At 41.8% G+C, this 22,361-nt stretch overlaps 1 annotated feature.

Annotated features, from left to right (window-relative positions):
* Positions 1,582–1,918: a silencer, noted in NCBI's record as "fragment chr1:208551780-208552116 (GRCh37/hg19 assembly coordinates)". NCBI's record gives its function as "represses an EF-1alpha promoter that drives an FKBP-Casp9 reporter gene in an ReSE screen in phorbol 12-myristate 13-acetate-treated (for megakaryocytic differentiation) K562 erythroleukemia cells {active_cell/tissue: K562(+PMA)}" and the evidence as "EXISTENCE:reporter gene assay evidence [ECO:0000049][PMID:32094911]".

The raw sequence follows: 22,361 nt of genomic DNA on the forward strand, positions 1-22,361 counted from the left end.
TCCCAAAGTGCTGGGATTACAGGTGTGAGCCACTGCGCCCGGCCCCCCACCCCCCCATCTATTTTTATTGGCTCTCTTTTATTTCAAGATGGCAAGTGAAATATATTCAATGCAAGGTATTTCTTCACATCAAGAAATAATGGCAAATACATACATAGTTCCTACCATGTGTAAGGCAATGTGCTAAATACTTAAATATATTAATTCATATAATTATAAGATTATTCTTCTCATCACACAGATGAGGAAAAACTTAGTCATGAAGAGGTCCAGTGACAACTTGTCCAGGTTTTCTTAGTTAAGGGTGGAGTCAGGGCTTGAAATCAGGCAGTCTGGCTCCAGAGTCTGAGATCCTAATTACTACACATACTGCATTCAGCATTCAAGTTATTGAAATAAATGGGCAGAGAACACATGGGCCTATTGAATAGCCCAGTTGGAACCCAGATGTGCTTTGTTTGTTTGTTTGCTTTAATCAGTGGCAGAATCTTGATAGCTGACCTCCCTGAGCCTTTTATATCAATAATGGGAGCAATGGCCAAAACTCAAAATAATTTAGCAGTGGTTAAAGCTTCCTTCCTTTTAGGACTACTCTAGAAAAACAAGTCATCGAGAATAATGATTAACTGTGTTGGTTTTTGTACAGAAAGAACTGGGGTTGAAGCCACTTACTAACCCTAGGATTTGGAGCTGAGTCTTAGTTTCCTCTCTGGTAAATTCCTCATAGGAATTTATTGAAGATTAAGTGAGCTACTGAACATAAACTGCCTGGCCAAAAGTAACAACTGATACGTGGTGTTTTATCATTATGAAGATCATCTAGTCAAGGGTTTTCAGTTTATTACCATAATATGCTAGTGTGCCACTATCACTTAGGAAGTTTTTAATTCCATCTAAGTAATAATAAAAACATCAAAATTTGTAAATGATAAATCCTTTATTTTTTATAGGTTAAAGTATAATAATATTTTTCTCTGCATTAAGGTCACGGTTGCTTGCATTTTTCACATTGTTTCTTGAGGACTGAGGAAGGGGTAAAGTCAGTTGGTGAGGAGGGAACTGTGCACAAACTAGGTATATGCAAGGAAATGTCAGATGTCAAGTGGAAGGTGGTGGAAAAACAAATCGAGGCCCTCAGCACTCACCAGATTCCCTACCTTAGTGGTAAAGAATGTACCTATGAGATATAGTCACCTGGGAGGGCTGAAGTTTAATTTATATACAGTGTGCTAAGCACTGTTTGCAGGAGTAAAAAATGTGCCTTGTTCTTATTTGTACAACTTATTTCCAAATATGTGTGTGTGTGCATGTGTATGTGTTATGTGTGTGTACACCATTGGGGTTAATACAAGTAAAAAGTCATTTAAAGGCATAACTAAATTCATAGTAGCTGCTTGTCATTACATATTTCATAATTAGCAAATACTAAAAGTGTCATAGATGTAGAAGTAAGAAATATTTTTGAGATTTACAAAGGCATCACATACTCTAAAAGAAGGAGAAGCCCCAAGTAACTGATGAAAGTGTGTGGCCCAGGGTCTGTCACGCTCAGCTGCTCAGTGATCATTTCTGTCGGTTTTCTCGAAGTGGTGGAATATGCTGGTGCCTCTTGTCAGGGAAGGGGCATCACCCAAGGCTGCAGGCCAGGAAGAAAAAGAATCAGAACTCTGGGTGGATCTAGACTGGAGTAAAATCCAAGGCCATGAGAACATGGCACTGTAGAGGGCCTTCTTGTAGAGGCAATGATTCTTGTATTTGTAGATATGTAGGTTGTTTTCAAGAAGATCTGTTCAAGTTTGTGTTGAGGCTGTAAAGCCAGGTCTAGCTCCAGGGAAAGGGCTGGCAAGGGTAAACTAAGGGGAAGTTTCTGGTCAGTTGGGCTAGGGTTAGAGCTTCCAAGGGGATGTTGGAAATGGAATGAAGAAGCAAGGACCAGACTAGAAGGACACAGAGATGCTGCCCATGCATAGTTGGGGACAGTAAGGGGATTGCAGCCCAGTGTCCAGGGGGCACCTGGCAGTGAAGTTTGTTCTAGACACAATTGACACAATTTATTTGGGGAGTGGGTTCCAATTTATATGGGGAGAGGGCCCTTTATTTCAGAAACTAATGGTGCTGGGTCTGTAGGAATAGATCGTTCCTTACAGCTTGGAAGGTCAAAGCCAGTCAGAAAAAAAATGTATGATTTTCCCTCTCTCAGCATCCTACATGAGTGGTCATCCATTCTCTGCTGATACATCTTTAGTGATATCAGTCCCTTTAGGGTGAAATGGGTTCATAATCCACTCAGAAGAAGAGACACCTGTTGTTTGTTTTATTGGAGATGGGATACCAATGGGGTGTTACAGCTTGTCCCAAAAGGCTATTTGCAAGGTTGTGATGTCGTATGGGAAGTTTGTGAGGTTCTGAGTTAGGATCTGATTACGTTTGCAGAAGACTGCAATGGCATATTTGAATACAAATAAAATAGTTATATGGGGAGTGCGTGTGTGTATGTGTGAGAGAGAAAGACAAGCACACAGACAGACAGACAGATATAGACTAGAAGAGAGAGAAATTTATCCTTCAGTGTTGAAAATATGGCATCCTTTCAGGAAGTAGGACTTAGAGTACAAAAGTTTTCTTTCAACTCTATACTTCTGGAATTCTCTCAGTGTCCCTTTTTGTCAATTTGTATTATTGTTTTAACTGGTAATCATTGCACACGTATGCTATACCAGGCACTGGGTTCCGTGATTTTTATACAATGTAACACCTAATCCTTGCAACACAGGTAGTGTCTATAAAAACCTCAAAAGGACAGGCTTGGCAGCATTTCCAGGATAGCTGAACACGGGGAGGTTCCTGGAGGGTGGCACACCCAGGGAGGGCATGGAAGCTCCACGCCCCCTCCCCTATACGCACCCTGTGCAACTCTGCATCTGTATCCTTTGTAATATCATTTATAATAAACCAGTAGACATGATTCCTTGATTCGGGAGCCACCCTAGCAAACTAATAGAATCCAAGGAGGGGGTTGCGGGAACCCTGATTTATAGCCGGTCAATGGTAAGCATGGGTAAGACAACCTGGGACTTGTGATTGGCATCAGAAGTCAGTGGAGCCTTGTGGGACTGAACCCTCAACCTGTGTGATCTGACACTATCTCCAGGTAGACAGTGTTAGAACTGAATTAGGGGACACCCAGCTGGGTGCCACTAAATAAATAATTTGCTGCAGAATTGATAGATTAGTGGTTGCTGGGGGGAAAATCCCCACACCCTTCTGGGTGACTACAGGTTACAGAAGTCTTCTGTATTGACTATTGAGAGTACAGTAGGAGAAACTGACTTTGTTCTTCCTGCTCAAGCCCCTATGCAAATTTCCTTATTTCTATACTTTCTTGAGCCTAACATTTACATTCTCTTATTGGACTCTTAGAAGCTAGAATCAAAATCTTAGAATTATTGTGAAAACCTTTCTCCCAAACTGTGTGTAATGGAATCACAAATTTAAGTTCCTACCTAACACAGATGTGAAAAGAATTAAATCTGAAATTTCACTTTTGCCTATGATTAATTTGGTTTTTCTCCTGAACTTCCGCTTAGTGGGAAAATAAATTAAGGACATGTCGAGTCTGATATAACCTTAGTCCAATTTTGAAAGTTGGGAAGTTAAATAATCCCTTCAGGTAGTGTTCAATCTCTCCCTAGAGAGAAAAAAAAGCCTCTAGCATTTGGGCATATGGGAGAGGGGTGCACGTCACTTGGAATGATGCAGACATATAAGTTAGGATATATAATGCTGGCTTCAGGGCTGGACACAATGGCTTATGTCTGTAATCCCAGCACTTTGGGAGGCCTAGGCAGGAGGTTAGCTTGAGGCCAGGAGTTTGAGACCACCCTGGGGAACAAAGTGAGACTCCATCTCTACAAACAACAACAACAATAATAACAATAATGCTAGCTTCTGTAACAAACAACCCTCCAAAAATCTCAGTGGCTTAACGCAAAGGCTTATTTCTCATCCACGTCACAGTTGGATGTGGAAAGGGTAGCTTTCCTTAAAGTGGTGACAATCATTCATGCTCTCTTTTCATCTCTTTTTTAATCTCTATCAAAATATCCATCTCCCTCTCTGTCCCTCTTCCCTCAGTACATGACCTGAGTGTTTGCTGTGGCGGAGGAAAGAGAATGATGAAGAATTGGGTATGGGGTTGATGATGACCAGGCCTGAAGCGGTGGCCATCAACACTGCTCAGATTCCATTTACCAGAACCTGGTCACAAGGCCCCAGCCTCACTGCAAGAGCAGCTAGTAAATGTAGTTTCTCTATGAGCTCAAGGAGAGGAAACCAGATTGGTGGGATCTGGCCATGGTCGGCTACAGTGAGGAATCGCTCCCCAGCCCTCCTGCTATTTCCTCCTATGAGTGCTGGCTGGCAGTGTCCCTTGTCTGCGTGGTCCTCTGTTTCTGACACTGAAGTGGGTGGCTGGTGCACTCAGGCTCATTTCTCTTGTCTCAGCCAACACTGCCAGGGGAGCTCCCTGCCTGACTTGGCCTCACCTTGGCTGCCACAGGCATCTTACTACTGGGCCTCACACCATGTCTCCTGTCAGTCTACTGGCCAGAAAGTCCACCCCCAGGCCCTCCTGTGGGGTCATTTTGCTCTGCCATGGACCTTTCTAGGGGGGCACCAGTGGCTCTCAGCTCAGCAGCCATATCATCCAGGAACTGGCAGTGGTTTAGTCAACCTAAACACAGGCTTCCCTTCAACCACACGCCAGTGATGACCTCTGGCTAAGACCCAGGCTGCTGGGAGGCTGCTTGTTAGCAGGGTTCTTTCCAGAGTCTCCAAGAGAAACAGGATGCATGGTCCTCCCATGAGTGCTCCTATTAAGTTATCTAATTTACCTTCTGTTTCTGAGCCTAAGTCCACAAAGAGGAAGGGGAAGAACTGCTGTTCTCTGTGCCTCATCCCCTTCCTTTCCATGAGACCCAGGATCCAACAAAGGGTGGGATTTTCTTCCACATCCCTCAGCCACAGCCTCTACCTCGCAGAGTGGGCCTTTGCACCAGAGAATAAACACTTGTGATTGAGTCCTGGTGCTGACTGAGATCAGGTGTTGATGTGTTAAAGAAGATAAAAAGATTTGGATAATCCTTTCTCAAGATAATTGACTGGCTTGCCAGCAGTGGTAGAGCTTTGACAATCTACATTTTGACTTCCATAATTGAATATCATCTCATTTTTTCTTCTTTACATTAATTCTATGATAATTTCTAATCTTTCCCAGGTAGGCATATGCATAGGGTAGAGGGGAAAGGAATGTGTACTTAGGCAAAAGAGAAATGACATTAATTTAAGCATGCTTCCGTTTAAGGGGGATCCTTTTAGGAATATAGGCCAGGATGCATTCATTTAACAAATATTGATTGAGTACTTTCTGAACACTGTTCTAGGTAACGTGGATACTGCAGTCAACAAGGCAGATAAAAATTCTTGCCCTTAAGAAGGTTGGGTTCTAGTGGAGTAGAGGGACATAGACATAATCACAGCGTAAGTAAGTATAGAGATATATTGTTAAATATTGTTAAGGGCTAGGGAAAAAAAATGAAGCAGAAAGGGCGATATGAAATGCCAGGTGAAATGCTAGATAGGGTGAACAGAAAAGGCCTCAAGAGGCTGGGTGTGGTGGCTCATGCCTGTAATCCCAGCACTTTGGGAGGCCTAGACGGGTGGATCACCTGAGATCAGGAGTTCGAGACCAGCCTGACCAGCATGGAGAAACCCCGTCTCTACTAAAAATACAAAATTATCCGGGTGTGGTGGCACATTCCTGTAATCCCAGCTACTTGGGAGGCTGAGGTAGGAGAATTGCTTGAACCTGGGAGGAGGAGATTGCAGTGAGCCAAGATCACACCATTGCACTCCAGCCTGGGCAACAAGAGTAAAACTCTGTCTCAAAAAAAAAAAAAAAAAAAAAAGCCTCAAGAAGGTGGTTTCTGAGTAAAGATCTGAAGGAAGTGAGACAGTGAGCCATGCAGATTTTTGGAGAAAGAACATTCCAGGAGGAGGAAATTATAAGGGTAAGGATCTGGAGCAGAAGCCTTGCTGGCTTCCTGGAGGAATATGAGGAAGTCAATGGCCAGACATGTAAGTGGAGAGAGTGGAAGGTGATAAGATCACAGAGCAATGGAACTGGGGTTGCAGATGAGGTTGAGCCTTTGCCTTTCACTCTTCATAAGATGGGAAGCTGTTGGGGGCTTTGAGCAGATCAGTGATCTGATCCACCTTTGTTGTAACAGAGCAGCTCTGGGCCAGCATTATCCCTAGGGTTAGTGCTACAGTGGCCCATCTACCTCTGCTTGAATTGGTACAGGGGTAGGAATGTGTGCTTTCATAGGAAAATCTGTAGAGGCTGGCAGGCTTAATTGTCAGGCGACTCTGTCCTCTTCTTTCAGTTCCTATAGGACAGGGGTTGGCAAACTACTGCCCACAAGCCAAATCTGCCCTCGTCTGTTTTTGTAAATAAAGGTTGATTATAACACAGCCATGCTTATTCATGTATATATTGTCTCTGGCTGCTTTTGTGTTACAATGGCAGAATTGAGTAGCGGTGACAGAGACCAAAGTGTACGCAAAGCCTAAAGTATTTACTAATTAGACCTTTTAAGAAAATGCTTTTGACCTCTGTTATGGGAGACAAATACTGGAAAAACAGCTAGGAAGGAAAACCAAAGGCATATGAGGTGTGGGGCTAAAATAGATTTAAAACTAAAAGACATCAAAATAGGATACGAATTATTTATACCAAAGAAATACCACAAAAGGAAAACAAAATAGAAATTTAGTTGAAATATGATGTCTTAGAAGTTTGGAGATTTTTGGATGTGAGGAATGAAGGTCATAAGTTTGTTCCGTAGGTAACAACATTGAAGAAGAATTTACCTATTGAATACCTGCTTTCCCCAGGAGGGAACCCAGTGGATCACAAGAGAGGCTCAAAAATTCCATCACGAGTTAGCTTGACTACATCTATATTTGACCTGATTTGCTAATTGCCTTGCCTTCATTTTAAGTGTATTGCTTAAGTATATGCTGATTTAGTATAAGAGATCATCAACCCCTTTTCATTATCAGCTTCTGTATATTAATGTCAGATAATGGCTAGTAATAGCCTTAGTACTCTTAGAAGTATGTTTAATTTTGCAAAAATAATGGGGGCTTTCTTGTCCTTTCAGCCCCCGTTCTATGCTTCATTCCATTCTGCCTAACATCACCAGCTCAGCTGGAGGCAGCCTCTCTGAGAGGATACTTCTTGCTAACACAGGACTACCAGGCCCTGGGTGGACACCTCGCAGCTCCTTTTTTACCTGAGCTATCCATGAAGCAGCTGCCTGGCCTCCTAAGTGCCTGACTTCACCAGTTTAATTGGTTCCACTCAATGCACACACAGTCACTAAGACATTTTCCAAATTACTTATAATTAATGCTCTAGTCATTACAAATGAGCTGTCTCAGGCCAACTCCAATTCCCTATTCAATGGCCCGCATAGGCAGTACAGTCAGAGTGGGGTCACAGGTACCACAGTCACCTGAAAGGAAGGAGCTCTTTCTCTCTGTTTCCCAGAGTCGTGTCTGTTGCTGCTAATGAAGTCATGCTGGTAAATGGTTTGGCATAAATGACAATTAATTAAGGTGCCTTTTGCAGTTTGGTATACTTGAGGACTTACCAAAATATCACGCACCTAGGGCCTTTAACACTGTTCCAAGAATATGCAGTTTCACGGCAGCAGCTCATATACCATGCCTTGGAGTACTTGTGGCCTCTGGAAAGTTAACATAATCGCCCACTCACCCAAGTACGTAAAGGGTATCTGTTGCCAAGGCTGCACCAGGTCCATGCAATGACTTTGTAGAATTTTCTTATCCCTGTGAAAGTTGAGGCTGCAGGGCCATCTCTGGCCTTGATTTAACTAACTTTGTAGAAGCTTTCGGTGCTACCTTTCCAGAGCTTCCTGCCTGGAGCTGCACTAGATGAGAAACAGAGTGCTTTCTTTCTTTAAGAGGCTTTGTGTCAATGTTAGAGGAGTTGGTTATTCCTTCCTCATGGCCACCCTGGTCTCATCTGGCCTATACCTTCACAGGTTGGTAAATTTTAAGCCCTATGAGTATTCATTTACTTAGAACCACAGAAAAATGGACTCATCAGGCAAGGAGGAATACGAAATTTTCAGGGTTGCAACCTAGTGCTCACAACCCAGTGTGAAGAACTAAGTCTGGCCCAGGGCACACTCAATGCTTAATACTGACAGCTGAGATGAGATGATGTTGTACCACCACTGACCGGATGAACTTACGAATAGTAGAAACCATTATAGTCACCAAGTGATGTCTAAGCTGGGCTGTGAAAGATAGGAAGGAGCAGAGCGTGTAGAAGTGAGGAGGACATTCCAGGCCCAGAGGACAACTTGGGCAAAAGCAAGGAAGTAGGAAAGAAATAGAGATGTCCAAGGAATAGATAGTGGTTAAGGTGGCTATAGTCCTGGTACATAAAAAGGAGAAATAGAAGCTAGTTCTAGAAAAAAAAAAATCTATTGTGTGCCAGGCCCTATCTTGGTACTGTGAATGACATAAAGAGAAATGAGACAATATAATAATAAAAAGGATATGGCCCCCTCCTTCAAGGAGCTTAATGTCAAAATGAGCTTCCATATAGCATCGTGGCAGCAGCAACAGTTTGCTGAAGCAGTAGGTTTGCATTCTGGGTGAAGTTCTAGAAGAGATCCTATGTGCATTTTAGCTGGGAGATCCTCATGGGATTCCTATTCATAGTAGTTGGTGCTGCCACAGTAGGAGAGCTGGTAGAAAGGAGTTCTAAGTTATGATGATTAATTTTATGTGTAAACTTGACTGGGCCATGGGGTACCCAGACATTTGGCTAAACATTATTCTGGATATGTCACTGAAGGCATTTCTGAATGACATTCCCATTTGAGTTGGTAGACTGAGTAACACAGATTACCCTCCCTAATGTGGGTGAGTCTCATTCAATCAACTGAAGACTTGAATGAATAAAAAGCCTGAGTAAGAGGAAACTCCTCCTGCCTGACTTCTTGACCTGGGACATTGATGTTTTCTGGCCTTTGGACTTGGACATTGGCTTTTCTTAGGTCTTGAGCTTGCTTTCTTTTATACTGGAACTTACACTTTTGGCTCTTCTGGGTCTCAGGCCTCCAGACTCAGACTGGACCTACACATGGGCTTTCCTGGGTCTTTAGATTTGCTGACTACAGATTTTGGGACTTCCCAGCCTTCATAGTTGCATAAGACAATTTCTTATAATAAATGTGCATATTGTATTTTATTTATTTTGTTTATATCCTGTTAGTTCTCTTTATCTGAATGTATTAGTTCATTCTCACATTGCTATAAAGAACTACCCCAAACTGGGTAATTTATAAATAAATGGGTTTTAATTGGCTCACAGTTCTGCAGGCTATACAGAAAGCATGGGTGGGGAGGCCTCAGGAAACTTACATTCATGGCGGAAAGTGAAGGGGAAGCATGCACCTTCTTCACTTGGTGGAATGGGAGAGCGAGCGAGCTAAGGGGGAAGTGCCACACACTTTTAAACCATCAGAACTCTTGAGAACTCACTCACTATCACAAGAAGAGCAAGGTGGGAAATTCACCCCCATAATCTAGTCACCTCCCACCAGGTTCCTCCCCAAAGATTGGGAATTACTATTCAGCAGGATATTTGGGAGGGGAAACAGAGCCAAAAAATATCACTGGAGAATCCTGACTTATCCATAAGACCAGTTGACATTCAGGAACAATCCATTAGTCTCTACTTTTCAAATTCCATGATGCAGTATATTCTCACCTTTGAAAAGTTCAGGTCATGCTTCTTTTTGTCCTCTGCCTAGCCTGGCAGGCTGAGAGTTCCTGCTGTAGAAAGACGGGTTGAAGGTTAAGAGGACATAAAGTTCCCCATTCCTGGCTTTCAACCACTTCAGATCACCCCTAAGCTTTTGGTGTATCCCTGGCTCAGACTCCTTCTACGGGAACTCTGTGGCTTCAATTTCAGGGCACAGTGGGTCATCTGGAAAATGACGTCTTATTTTGCGGTGTTGCAGGGAATTGCTATCAGATACACACCATATAGACCAGTGCCATTAAAGGGAAGGAATTATTACCCTTCACCTATTCTCTTCTTGTGTCTTATCAAAAGGATTTGCCATTAACTAGAAATTTTTCCTTCAAGATTTTCACTTTGCACCAACTGCAGTGAATGAAGCTAAAGGAAAAGGCAACTCTCCAGGCACAGGGGTATCGTGAACTACCCACACAGCTCTGGCTCTTTCTGGTGAATCAAGCTGGATTCGTTTGTTCTCAGTCTCATCCATGCATATACACAGAAATGCACAGGGAGGTGTGGAATCACACTGAAGAATATTTTTATACAATGTCAAAAAGATGCGGTCTCTATGCAGTGCAATACGAAGATAAAAACTCTTTGTACTTACAGATTATTTCATCTTAGCCCAAAGTGCTTTCCTGTATCTATTCTAGCTCCTTTATCTACCTCCCAGTTCATGAAGTCAAAAGTAGAAGGGATGATCCTCCTCTTGGAACATGAAGAAATTTAGGGTAAGATGGATTAAGTGATTTGCTGTCAGTCATGTGGTGCAGAGTCCGGATCGGAAACTTGGTTCCTCTCTCCTTCTCTCCATCCCTTGTTCCCATCTTTCTGTCTTCCTTCTTTTCCTCCTTCATTAGATATTTGTAAGGAACCTAGAGGTAATTTCCTAGGTGCTGGTGATATAGAAACGAGGAAGACAGAGCTTCTGCCTCTAAGACAGTCTCCGTGAAACAGGAAATACAGACATGTAAACACATAAGTAGAACGTAATACTGAGAAATAACAGTAGAGCTTTGAACAAGGCAATGCACGACATCCCATGTTAGGGGAGGCTAAATTCTCCTAGACGATTTGTAGAAGATTTTACCCTGGAAGTAACACTTGAGTTAGGGATGGAAGGAAGTGTAGGAATTTTACAGGTGAAAGAAAAGGGACATTTCAGACAGAGGGAACAGAGCGTGCGAAAACATAACCATGTGCAAGGGCATCCTATGGTCAGGGAGCTGCAAGACTGACAGTTTTATTGCAGCACAGTGGGCTCTCTTCTGAACAGCTGATGCTGACTTCCAACAGGAAACACTAACCCTCTAATCATGGCCCTGCCACAAGAAGAGAGTCCAGGAGACGTATCGTAAACACTGCCTGACATAGATTAATCCTGCCTGCCTGTTGCCAGCTTTTGATGACTGTTCCTCTTTCTTCAACAATGAAGAGAGCCATGTCAGTCTAATGACTGTCATATTATCTCCCATTAACTTCATTATTGGACACTAACTGTTTCTAGTAATAATTCATTCACTGGTAATGACTTGGTGTCCAATGCCTGGATAATTACTGTCACAAATGCGATCAGACGGGTGCTTGGGGTTGTTTTCTCCATCTGGGACTAGGGTGCAAATCAACTGAGGGCTCAGAGCTTGTGGGGTTTTCCTGGATGTGACAAAGGAAAATCCCCTCCTGAGTGACAGGGATGGAGATTTCTCCTGAGGACTGAAAACTCAGAAAAGCTTTTTCCCTGCCCTTGGGCTTGGGAATAGCCACGTGGGTCTGAGTGCTATGTGCGTGTGTGTGCATGTGATGCATGTGTGGGTCACATGTGACGTGTGTGCTCAGTGGAAACATGAAACCCTTCTCATACTCTAAGGCCAGTAATTCATATCTGGCTGGAAGCTTCTGGTGAATTAAGTTTTATAATCCATGACATACAGAAACCTCCACTCCCATATTACTCAAATTCCACTCTAATTATCCACATTTATTGTGAGCAGAGATATGCTGCTTGTTTGGAAGGCCAAGAATGGGGTTTCTCAAATTGCCAGTGGTTGAGGGTAATGTTAGAAAGAGGAATTAAATCTGCCATAGAATTTAGGGGTGGGCTGAAATGAAGTATTGCAGTGTAGAGAGAAGGGACCAGCTGGGGAAGGAGAGAAGATGGACAGGGGCCAATGAGGAGAACTCTCAGTGGGCCAGAGACCTCAGATCACCCTGCTGAGCTACCCCACTACCACTGTAGGGAAAGACAACTTCTATCAAAGCAAACTCTCCAAATCCATAGGCTAAGGAAGTTGGGATTGTTCAGAAAAGGGTTCAACTTTATTATTCCATGAAAAATTGCACCTTGCTTATACCAGAGAGCGTTCTCGAAAATTGCAAAAAGTTACCAAGTTTTTTTTACCTGCATAGTAATTTTTTAAACTTTCGTATTTTTAATTTTTGTGAGGACATGGTAGATGTATATATTTATGGGGTACATGAGATGTTTTAATATAGGCAAGCAATGCATGATAATCACATTATGGAGAATGGGTTATTCATCCCCTCAAGCATTTATCCTTTATGTTACAAACAATCCAATTATACTCTTTTAGTTTTTATTTTAATTTTATTTTATTTTAGACAGGGCCTGGCTCTGTCACCCAAGCTGGAGTGCAGTGGCATGATCTTGGCTCACTCCAACCTCTGCCTCCCATGTTCAATCTAACCTCCCACCTCAGCCTCTGGAGTAGCTGGGACTGCAGGTGCACTACCATGCCCATTTAATTTTTGTATTTTTTTGTAGAGTTGGGGTTTCCCCATGTTGTCCAGGTTGGTCTCCAACTACTGGGCTCAAGTGATCTGCCTACCTTGGTCTCCCAAAGTGCTGGGATTACAGGCATGAACAACCATGCCTGGCCTCTTTTAATTATTTTAAAACATACAATTAAATTATTATTGACTATAATCACCCTATTGTGCTATGAATTAGTAGGTCTTATACATTCTTTCTATTTTTTTTGTATCCATAGTCATTTTTTTATTTTTTGAGATGGAGTTTCACTCTTGTTGTGCAGGCTGGAGTGCAATGGCACGATCTTGGCTCACTGCAACCTCCGCCTCCCGGGTTCAAGTGATTCTCCTGCCTTAGCCTCCCAAGCAACTGGGATTACAGGCGCCCACCACCACACCTAGCTAATTTTTGTATTTTTAGTAGAGACGGGGTTTCACCATGTTGGCCAGGATGGTCTTGAACTCCTGAACTCAGGTGATCCACCCGCCTCAGCCTCCCAGAATGCTGGGATTTTACAGGTGTGAGTCACCACCCCCAGCCTCTATAGTAATTCGTGACCTCAGATTCACAGAATTGAATTGATTACAGTCCTCAATTTATGATACAATATTAACATCAATCCATGCAATAATTCTCTTTTATTCTGTTATTTTTGCTGCTGTTTCCTCTCTTCACTCTATATCCCTCCATCTATCTGCACCACCACTTGACTGTTTCATATATATCCTGGATGACTGCATTGGTTTTCTATGGCTGCCTTAACGAGTTACCACAAACATAGCAGCTTTAAACAATGAACATCTATTATCTCACAGTTTGTAGGAAAGAAGCCCAGCGGACTTGACTGGGTTCTCTGCTAAGGGTCTCCCAAGGTTGAATTCAAGGTGTTGGCTAGCCTTGGCTGTTTTCTGGAGGTTGTGGGGAGAGTCTACTTTCCAGCTTATTTGAGTTGTTGGTTGCATACGATTCCTTGCTGGCTGTTTGTGGGAGTCATTCTCAGCATCTAGAAGCTAATGTATCTCTTGGCTTGTACCCCCTCTACCTTCAGAGCTTGCAGTTGTGTGCTAGATCCTTCTTGTGCTTAATCTCCCCAGCTTCTGCTTCTGCCTTCCTGTCTGCTTTTAAGGGGCCATTTACCAATCCCAACAATACAGGATAACCTTCTTATTTTAAGGTCAAATGGTTAGTGACCTTGATTACATCTACAATTAAGTCATATAAATTAACATAGTTACAGTTCTGGGGATTAGGGTGTGGAATCTTCATGGAGGCTATAATTTGGTGTAGCATAATGACTCAACTTTTATTTGCCTATTTTATTTGCTTATTTACAAAAATAGCCTTGAAATTTGTGTGGTTTGTACTAAAAAATTACAGAAACAGTTTTGTGCTCTCATTATTTTTTGCTTTTCCTTACTTATAGATTTTAAAATTTATCCTGTTCATTATTTTTGACAAGTATGTAGCATCCTGCCATATATGTATATTTAATGGATCAAATACATGTATTAAATATATTTCATTTAATTTATCCATTTCCCTATCTGTGAATACCTGCAAACAGAGCTGCAGTAAATATATGTGTCTATATATCCTTATGGACTTGTGTGTCATTTCTCTGGGATATACATCTCGGAGAAGTGCGATTGCTATAGGTAGTAGGGTGAAGCATATCTAATTCCACTAAGCATTTCCAGATTTCCACCTTGAATGGTTGTACCAGTTTGATCTCCTAATAGCAGTGCATGAATGTTTCATTTCCCCACATCCTCGTGAGTGCTTGGTATTAAACCTTGGCTCTGCCACTTTCCTGCTATGTAACCTTGGGTTAAGATACTTAACATCTCTTCCCCTCAGTTTTCTCAACAGTAAAATGGAACGATACTAGCATCTTCTTCATAATGTCCTGTGAGGAGTAAATGAGTCAATGTATGTTTTACTCAGAACATAGTCTGGCCCATAGTAGGTGTTATTATTGCTATTCTGTTATTTTATTTTCAAATGTTTACCATGTACCATGGACAGAAGGTAGCATTTTTTTTTTGTTTTAACGTATCCATTTTAATTGTTAGAGAGGTAGAGCATAACTTCATATACCTCTTAGCTATCCAGATTTTCCTTTATCTTCTTGTGACATGTTTGTTCTATCTTTAATGAACAATATTTTCTAGCGTTTCATGTCCTGTGCCCATCCCCACAAATATTAAAGCCAAATCCCCAAACATAACAGATGTTTAAATTTGTTTATGTGCTGTGAACTGTGCAGGATGATTTTGCCCATGAAAGAGAGTTACTGACGAATATTAGCTCTTGCTTCATGCTGGTGTGTCTAACAAGCACCATCACTATGAAATCGTACTCAACCTAGCTCTCTTTTTGTTCAATCCTTATGGGTGTTTAACCCCAATGCTTAGACAATATCACTATCATTAAGATTGTAGATTTGGTTCTGATCTGGTGTGTCCCAGTTCCCCTCAATCTGTGCTCAGGGCTACAAGTCTACACCCTCACCATCTATTGGTCCCGAAGGGGAAAGTATTACAGAGGTGAAAGTCTGACCCCCTGTAACTCCATCTGGGCCACGATAAAAACAACTGAAGGCAGAGGTGAGCAACAGAAGTCATTTTTGTATAGGGCAAGGATCATTATAGATGGGCTAGTCCATCTGCAGAATGACAAATGGAACTTTATTATGGGTAGAGGAAGCATAATTCATGACTTAAAAACAAAATCAATTTAATTTAGTAATGTATTTTATGGAGTTGGAAATCAGTGACTTCAAACCCCAAAATAATAAAATAGTCTCTATTTAAACTCAACTGAATTGTTATTCTTCATTTCTTATTTTTTCACCTTGTTAATTATAAAGGCAGTTGAAATATTATTTTTGAAATGTTGCAAATGGGCTATAGTCTCTGTGTGGTATTTGACATACCCAAGGGACAATGTATTCTTACTGTTATTCGGCATTCTTTTTTTGTACAGTTTTTAAAGTTAATGTTTCCTGCTTTGGAAATCTTTAATTAAAAATGGCCACATGGCATTAGAGGCAAACTCCCTAGAGACTAAGCCCTGCAGGTGAGATTGGATGATGTTGGAGCAGATGGCAAGATGTTGTCTGCTGGGATGGGAAATCAGGTTTGTGGTTTGAAAAGGCCAGAGGGAAAAAAGAAGGAAAGAAAGATCTGCTGTGTTCAAGAGTAAAGAGAGCCCTACTAGACCAATCGGTGTTTAGAGCAGGAGTTTTAGCTGATTCTGAGTAATTGATAAAGAGGCTCTCTCCTCATCAGGTATGGGCAGTGCAACACTCTGCTTGGGGTTTGAATGGTTTCCATGGAACAGCTTCTGACTTGAAGGTGAAAAGCAGAATTGTTTTGAATCATGTTATTTTCTAAGCCCATAAGAGTAGTTTTCCTCCCAGGCTTTAGTGTCTGGCCAAAAAAAATCTGCATCTATAGATTATGTACACATCATCTATAAAAATAGATATAGATAATAACCAAACACCATGGAGTGATGCATTTTTCTTCCCCTCTCCCCCGAAATGTTACAATGAATTATGAAAAGGTTAATCTGTTTCACCTAAACAGAGGGGAAAGCCATCTGTAGCAGGCCCTGCCTCAGGCTTCCCGTGAAGACGTCTACCTGTGAGCAGCTGGGTGGGTTGGTGAGTTGTCTCAATGCTTAACACATTTCCAATATCAATGACAGTGGGTCTTATAATCCATGTGATGGCTTTCCAGTCACTGGGGCAACAACTTGAATTCAGGAGCCCTGTCCTGAACAGAAACACTGGATAATTTCTACTCTGGTCAGGCATGTGCCTGACTGCTGTGTCTTGGAGGGTTTCCATATATCATAATTTTGCTCAAATTTTCCAGAGACATTCTTCTGGCCAACTGTATCACAATATGGTAACAGGAAACTTCTGCTTTTATTTTCCATAAATCCAGCCCTAGGTACAATAATTTCCTGAGTGGAGTCACTCATGTGCCCCAGAAAGCTCCATCAAGGTAAAAGGAGTGTGGGTGGCAGGCTGCAAAGCAGCAAAGGGAGTGTCCATAAATTACCATCAAGCATGATAATAACAACACTTACTGAGTGTTACACATATTTTTGAACATTGTGCTAAACCATTCATATGCATTATCTCAGTGACTTCTCAGTGACCCTATGAAGTACATATTATGATCATTATTTCCACTTTGCAATGAGAAAACTGAAATATGGAGAGGAACACCGACGTGCTCAAGCTAGTAATTAAAAGAGTTGGGGTCGAACTGGATTTTGTATGATTTCTGAGCCCAAGCTATTAACCACCGCTGCAGTAACTGCTGCCCTAGCTGAGAGAGTTTAGGTTTTGATCACTTACTATGTGTAAAGTGCTGTAAGAGGTACAAGAAGCATAGCACATGTTTACAATGAGGGTTAAGAGAGTAGTGGTTCAGATCATGAGTACTTAGTGTTTGGAAAAAGGGAAGTATCTGTGGGCTGGAGTTACCAGGGGAAGTCATTATGGAGTAGGTGGACCTAGAAAACTGGGAGAAGGTTTGGGCCTGACTCTAGGATAGAGAATGCTTTCCAGATAGTAAGGAAAGCTAAATAAAGTCCCTGGACCTTCCTGAAAACATAAAAAAGACAAGAGTCATGTAGTAGAAAATCTTCTGACCTGTGGCTAGAGTGATGTAATGAAGTCCTATGACAATCCTTGCTTTCTCCAGAAAGGCCGTTATTACTATCTGCTATTCCAGGAAACAGGGAAAGACCTGTCTCTGAAAGACTTCCCCAAAGACCTCATTCTAAAGCCTAGTGTAATGAAGCTAGTTGTATTCTAAGGTTCTTTTTGCTTTCTAACACTTGGGAGGATTCCAAAATGGCAGCTACTTTGACAAACTCATGAGGCATTGATGAAATTGTGTCTAGAAGGGAATAATCTGGCATAGGCATAACTGCTTAGCAAGGATTGAGGAGAATTTGGGCCACTGATAGGAACACAGGTCCCCTTCTAAATGAATAGGCAATATCATAGAAAGATGAGTTTTCCCTTTGATGGTGGGTTGTATCCTCCAGTCCATGACATGATCTTCTCCATCTTGAATTATTGGGTGACATAACTTGCACTCCAGCAGAACACATGATTATTATTCAGGAGTGAGTGACTTGAAATTGAAATGCTTGCATGGTCGTGAACTCCATCAGTGTTAAAAATAAATCTTTTTATCTGCTCTGCATTCCTGGGCTGGTACTCTTTTCCATTGGAGCCCCCTTTAAAAGATGTGTGGACTGCACGTTGAACAAGATCGAATGTGACTTTGCAAAAATAGAATGCTTGGTCTCTCCTCTTTTCCTCTCCACTCGACAATGCAAGATAAATTCACTCCACGGGAACCTTTTGTGGGTTGTACTGCTCAGGCAACTTGCAGTTTTCTGGGGGAAAGTCAGCTCACGCTACATTTATCACCCCCTGCTGCTGGCTACAATTCAACCCACTTCGAACCACTGAGCAGAGGTGCTGATGGGGGCTCTGGCATTCGAATTTCACATCATAATGGAAGTGCAGGGAAGCAAAAGACAAATGTATCAGGGCCGCTCCAGGTGTCCACTAAAAAAGAGGTCAAAAAGTATGACACTGGGTGATGGGGACTAAATATGAGTATATTTGCAATAATAAAAATATACAGTTGCTCCCCCCACAACTTTTATATTTTTTGCCTCTGGTAAGCCTGGCTCAAATAGTGAGTTTCCTATTGTGATATGAGAATCATCAACTCTTATCAAGACTGGTAGCCTCGATTTCACTTCGTAATCCACGCACAACTCAACATAGTCAAAACAAATTAATAATAAAAGAACACAACATGCCTTTCCTTTCTTCCTCTACCCAAGGGCATATTCTCTGAAGAAACCAAGAACACAACCACAAAATAAATGTAGTGGATAATTGAGTGAAATTAATATATTAGTCAATATAAGTTAGGTTATGCTGCTGAGATGACCAGCCCCTAAATCTCCCAAAACAAAAGCATATTCCCCATAGCAGTCAGTGGAGGACTCTGCTTCACAGGCCACTCAGGGACCCACGCTGATGGAGTGCTACTTCATCACTGCGCCATCTGGAACACATGGACTTCTGGATAGTTCTGGCAGGAGAGAATGCTGCAGGGTCTCCCACTGTACAATGCAATTCTTTGACTCAGAAGTGAAGCACATCCTTTCCATTCTCAGTGTGTTGGCCAGAACCAGTCACATGATCCTAACTGCAAGGAGCCAAGGGAGCACAATCCATGTGTGCCTGGAGGCAGAGGAGGCTGGGTTAGAGGCGAGCCCTGGATGTTTCTACTTATGTTGTATGAATTCTCTACTACACGTTGGCTTCTTGAAGTAGATCTGAATGGAATAGTAGTGGCTTTTTGAATTTAAATAAGCCCAATATATTTATCATTTCTTTTAATTTCCAGGTTCAGTGATGTTCAAAAATAGTCACAGAGTCACAGGTTTTCAGTACTGAAAGAACCAAATCAATCTTTAATTGAAAGGATGAAAAAACTGAGACCTGGAGAGTTTGTGAGTTGTCCACAATCTCCCCATTGTCAGCAGAGAGAGTTGATTCCCAGGCCCAGTTGATTCCAACAGACAGTTGATTCCCTACATTGAGTTGTCTTTGTTATTTCCCTTGGATGGCATCAGAAGGTAATGTCTGACCAACAACAAAAGTGAAAAGCTGTGAGAATCAATGACAAAGTAGACAGCATATGAATTATTTTCAGTATTAACACCCAAGGTATTTATGCTGTGTTTAGAGCTGATATGGTTTTACATTATTCATCCATTTCTCTACCTGTTATTATTCTTTTTGACTTGTTAATCATAACATTAATGACAATTTTTTTTCCTTCTGATTCAACTTTAAGGTTCGTATTTGGTTCCAGGGCCATATGTTTGTGTTGATCCATGGCATTGTTTCCTAATGTTTTTATGCCATGGCAAACACAGAATATGTTAATATTGGACAGTATATTGGAGTAAGACCACCGAGACTGCTCAGTCCTAGAGATAGTAACTCACAAGTTCTGGCTGCCTTAGGCCCCAAGCCTGGCCAACTAAGGAATTGGAGATCAGTGCCTTGGCACACAAGTAACCTTGTGATGCATAGGTGGGAAGCCTTCACCTTCAGAGAAAAGCACTGAGCTGAGCTGGGCATACATTTCTCTTTCAAGCTGGTAGAATTTGGGGGAAGAATTATGTCCGTATTTACCTCTGCTGATTTGAATACTTGGAGAGATGTTGGTTGAAAAGATTATTAAAAGGAAAAAGTCACCTCACTTGGACCCCACTTGATCAGGGAAGCCTTCTTGGAAGAGTCAGATTTTTAGCCGTGTTTAGGGAGTACGAATGAATACCCATACCAAGTTAGATAAGCTTGTAACCCTGGAGTGCTATTTAAAGACTTTCTAGAGGCATAATGAAGCCATTTTAAATAAGGGATATTTTCAGCATAAAATGCTTAACAGAACAAATACCTCTAGGCTTCTGCAGGTTTCAGAGGAGGCAGAATGGAAAGCCACACTGATGAAACACCACTAACAGGCAAATGTTCTCTTTTGCCATGAGGTGAGCAGCTCACAGGGTTTAACTTAAGGGAAAACTCTTTGGTGGCTGGCTTGGGTAATGAGTATCTGCTGGGAAGACCTTGTGAGCATTATTTGTGCCCATGTCTGTGCAAAAAATGTCTGTTCCCTTTATGGTATGAGGTTTGAAAGGAAAATGGATTGCATCCCATTGGAAGAAAATAGTTTGATCACTGTCTGGCCCTAGCTTTTTGGTCCTTTATAATTCTTTTCTGTGTCACTGTTTGACATCTATCATTACAATGCTGCCAGACCATTTCCTCCCCTACTTTATACCACGTGGAGATCTCTTTGTGAAAAACAAGGATGCTAATGTTGTTTCCATTGTGTGCATGTACATGTACGTGTGTGTGTGTGTGTGTGCATGTGCGTGTATGCACATGCGCATGCTGAGCATGGACGTATTTGTCTATGGAACATGGACAGGAGGCAAAAATTTCATTCTAACACATTTACTGGCTCTGCCCAGCAATCCAAATGCTGTGGAATAGACAGAAGTAAGTCAGGATGGGAATTGTCCTATCTCAGCATATTAAAAGGTGGGTATGACAAGTAAGTGAGCTGTCAGTTCCAAGACAGAAGGAGGAAAACCCAGAGATGGGTAGGATGATCATATAATTTATCATCCACATTGGAACACTTATAAGAATAAAAGGGGGTGCTATTAATAATTACACTGGGACAACATGTGTAAATTGGGACTGTCCCAGGCAATCTGGGATGAATAGTTAGCTTGGGGGTGGGCTAGGTGTCAAAATGCCAGGAGAGGAATAGCCACATACTAAAAATGGGTCTTTCCATTGGAATGAAGTCAGGAACATGGCCAAGGTTACATGCTGGAATAATGTAATGAAAAATGCAAAAACTGAATGGGGCAGGTGTGAGAACTAAGGTCTTGCATGGTTGATAGAGACTCGTAAGCAAATAAGAGCTAACAAGAATCCTGCTTGGGGAGATGTGGGGCATGCGGACCTGGAGTAATCTAGGGCAGTAAGTTGTTTGCTCCTTTTGAAGGCCAGCAATGGTCTCCCTTCCCCTTGGAAATCTCTTTATCTATCTAAAAGGCAAAGTTCTACCAGGCATGGTGGCGCACACCTGTAATCACAGCACTTTGGAAGCCTAAGGCGGGAGGATCACTGAGCCCAGGAGTTTGAGACTAGCCTGGGCAACACAAAGAGACCACATCTCTACAAAAAAAAATATAAAAATTAGCTGGGTGTGGTGGTGTTCACCTGTTGTTCTAGCTATGTGGGAGGCTGAGGTGGGAGGATCGCTTGAGCCCGAAAGGTCAAGGCTGTAAGGAGCTGTGATTACACAACTGCACTCCAACCTGGGCAACAGAGCAAGACCCTGTCTCAAATAAAGTAAAATAAAATGAAATAAAGTAAAAGGCAATCTTCCTCACACTTGACATCTGTCAGAAATAGGCAATTCATGTTAAACAGAAGCAGTCCAGTACTGCCATGTTTAAAGTTGAAGGGCTAAGGGCACAAAAACATTTCTGGTGGACGACTGTCAGTAATGGATAGGGGGATTCCATCTGAGGGATACCCCCATATATTTACTTCTGATTTGTATTCTACACACAAGACTGCAATAAAGGGAAAAGATAAAAGCCCAAGGATGTCTATATGTAAGATGTTTTTCTTTAAGATGATACATTAGGTGAGGGAAGGGTATTGCTAAGAATCCTAGGAGTGCTGAGCTTTTAGAAGAAAGCATCTGATACTCAGCAGACCATCATCCATTCATTCATTCATTCATTCATTCACTTATTCACTTTTATATTAAATGAGTACCTACTAATATGTAGGTGCTATATTTGGAACAAGGGCTATAGAGATAAATGAAGCACGGTCCCTAACTTGAAGCATTCAGTCTAGCAGAAAAATCCTAAGAAATTACGCTATAATACTAAAGTGCTGAATCAGGAAGAGATAATGTGTTAGGGAGTCAGGAAAGTGACCTTTTGAGCTCAGCTTAAAAGGTATGTGGAGTTTGACAAGTATATAAGGTTAAGAAAGAATTTTCAGGCAGAGGAAGCAGGATGAAGAAA

The sequence above is a fragment of the Homo sapiens genome, chromosome 1 (assembly GCF_000001405.40).
Source record: "Homo sapiens chromosome 1, GRCh38.p14 Primary Assembly".
NCBI classification, from domain to species: Eukaryota; Metazoa; Chordata; class Mammalia; order Primates; family Hominidae; genus Homo; species Homo sapiens.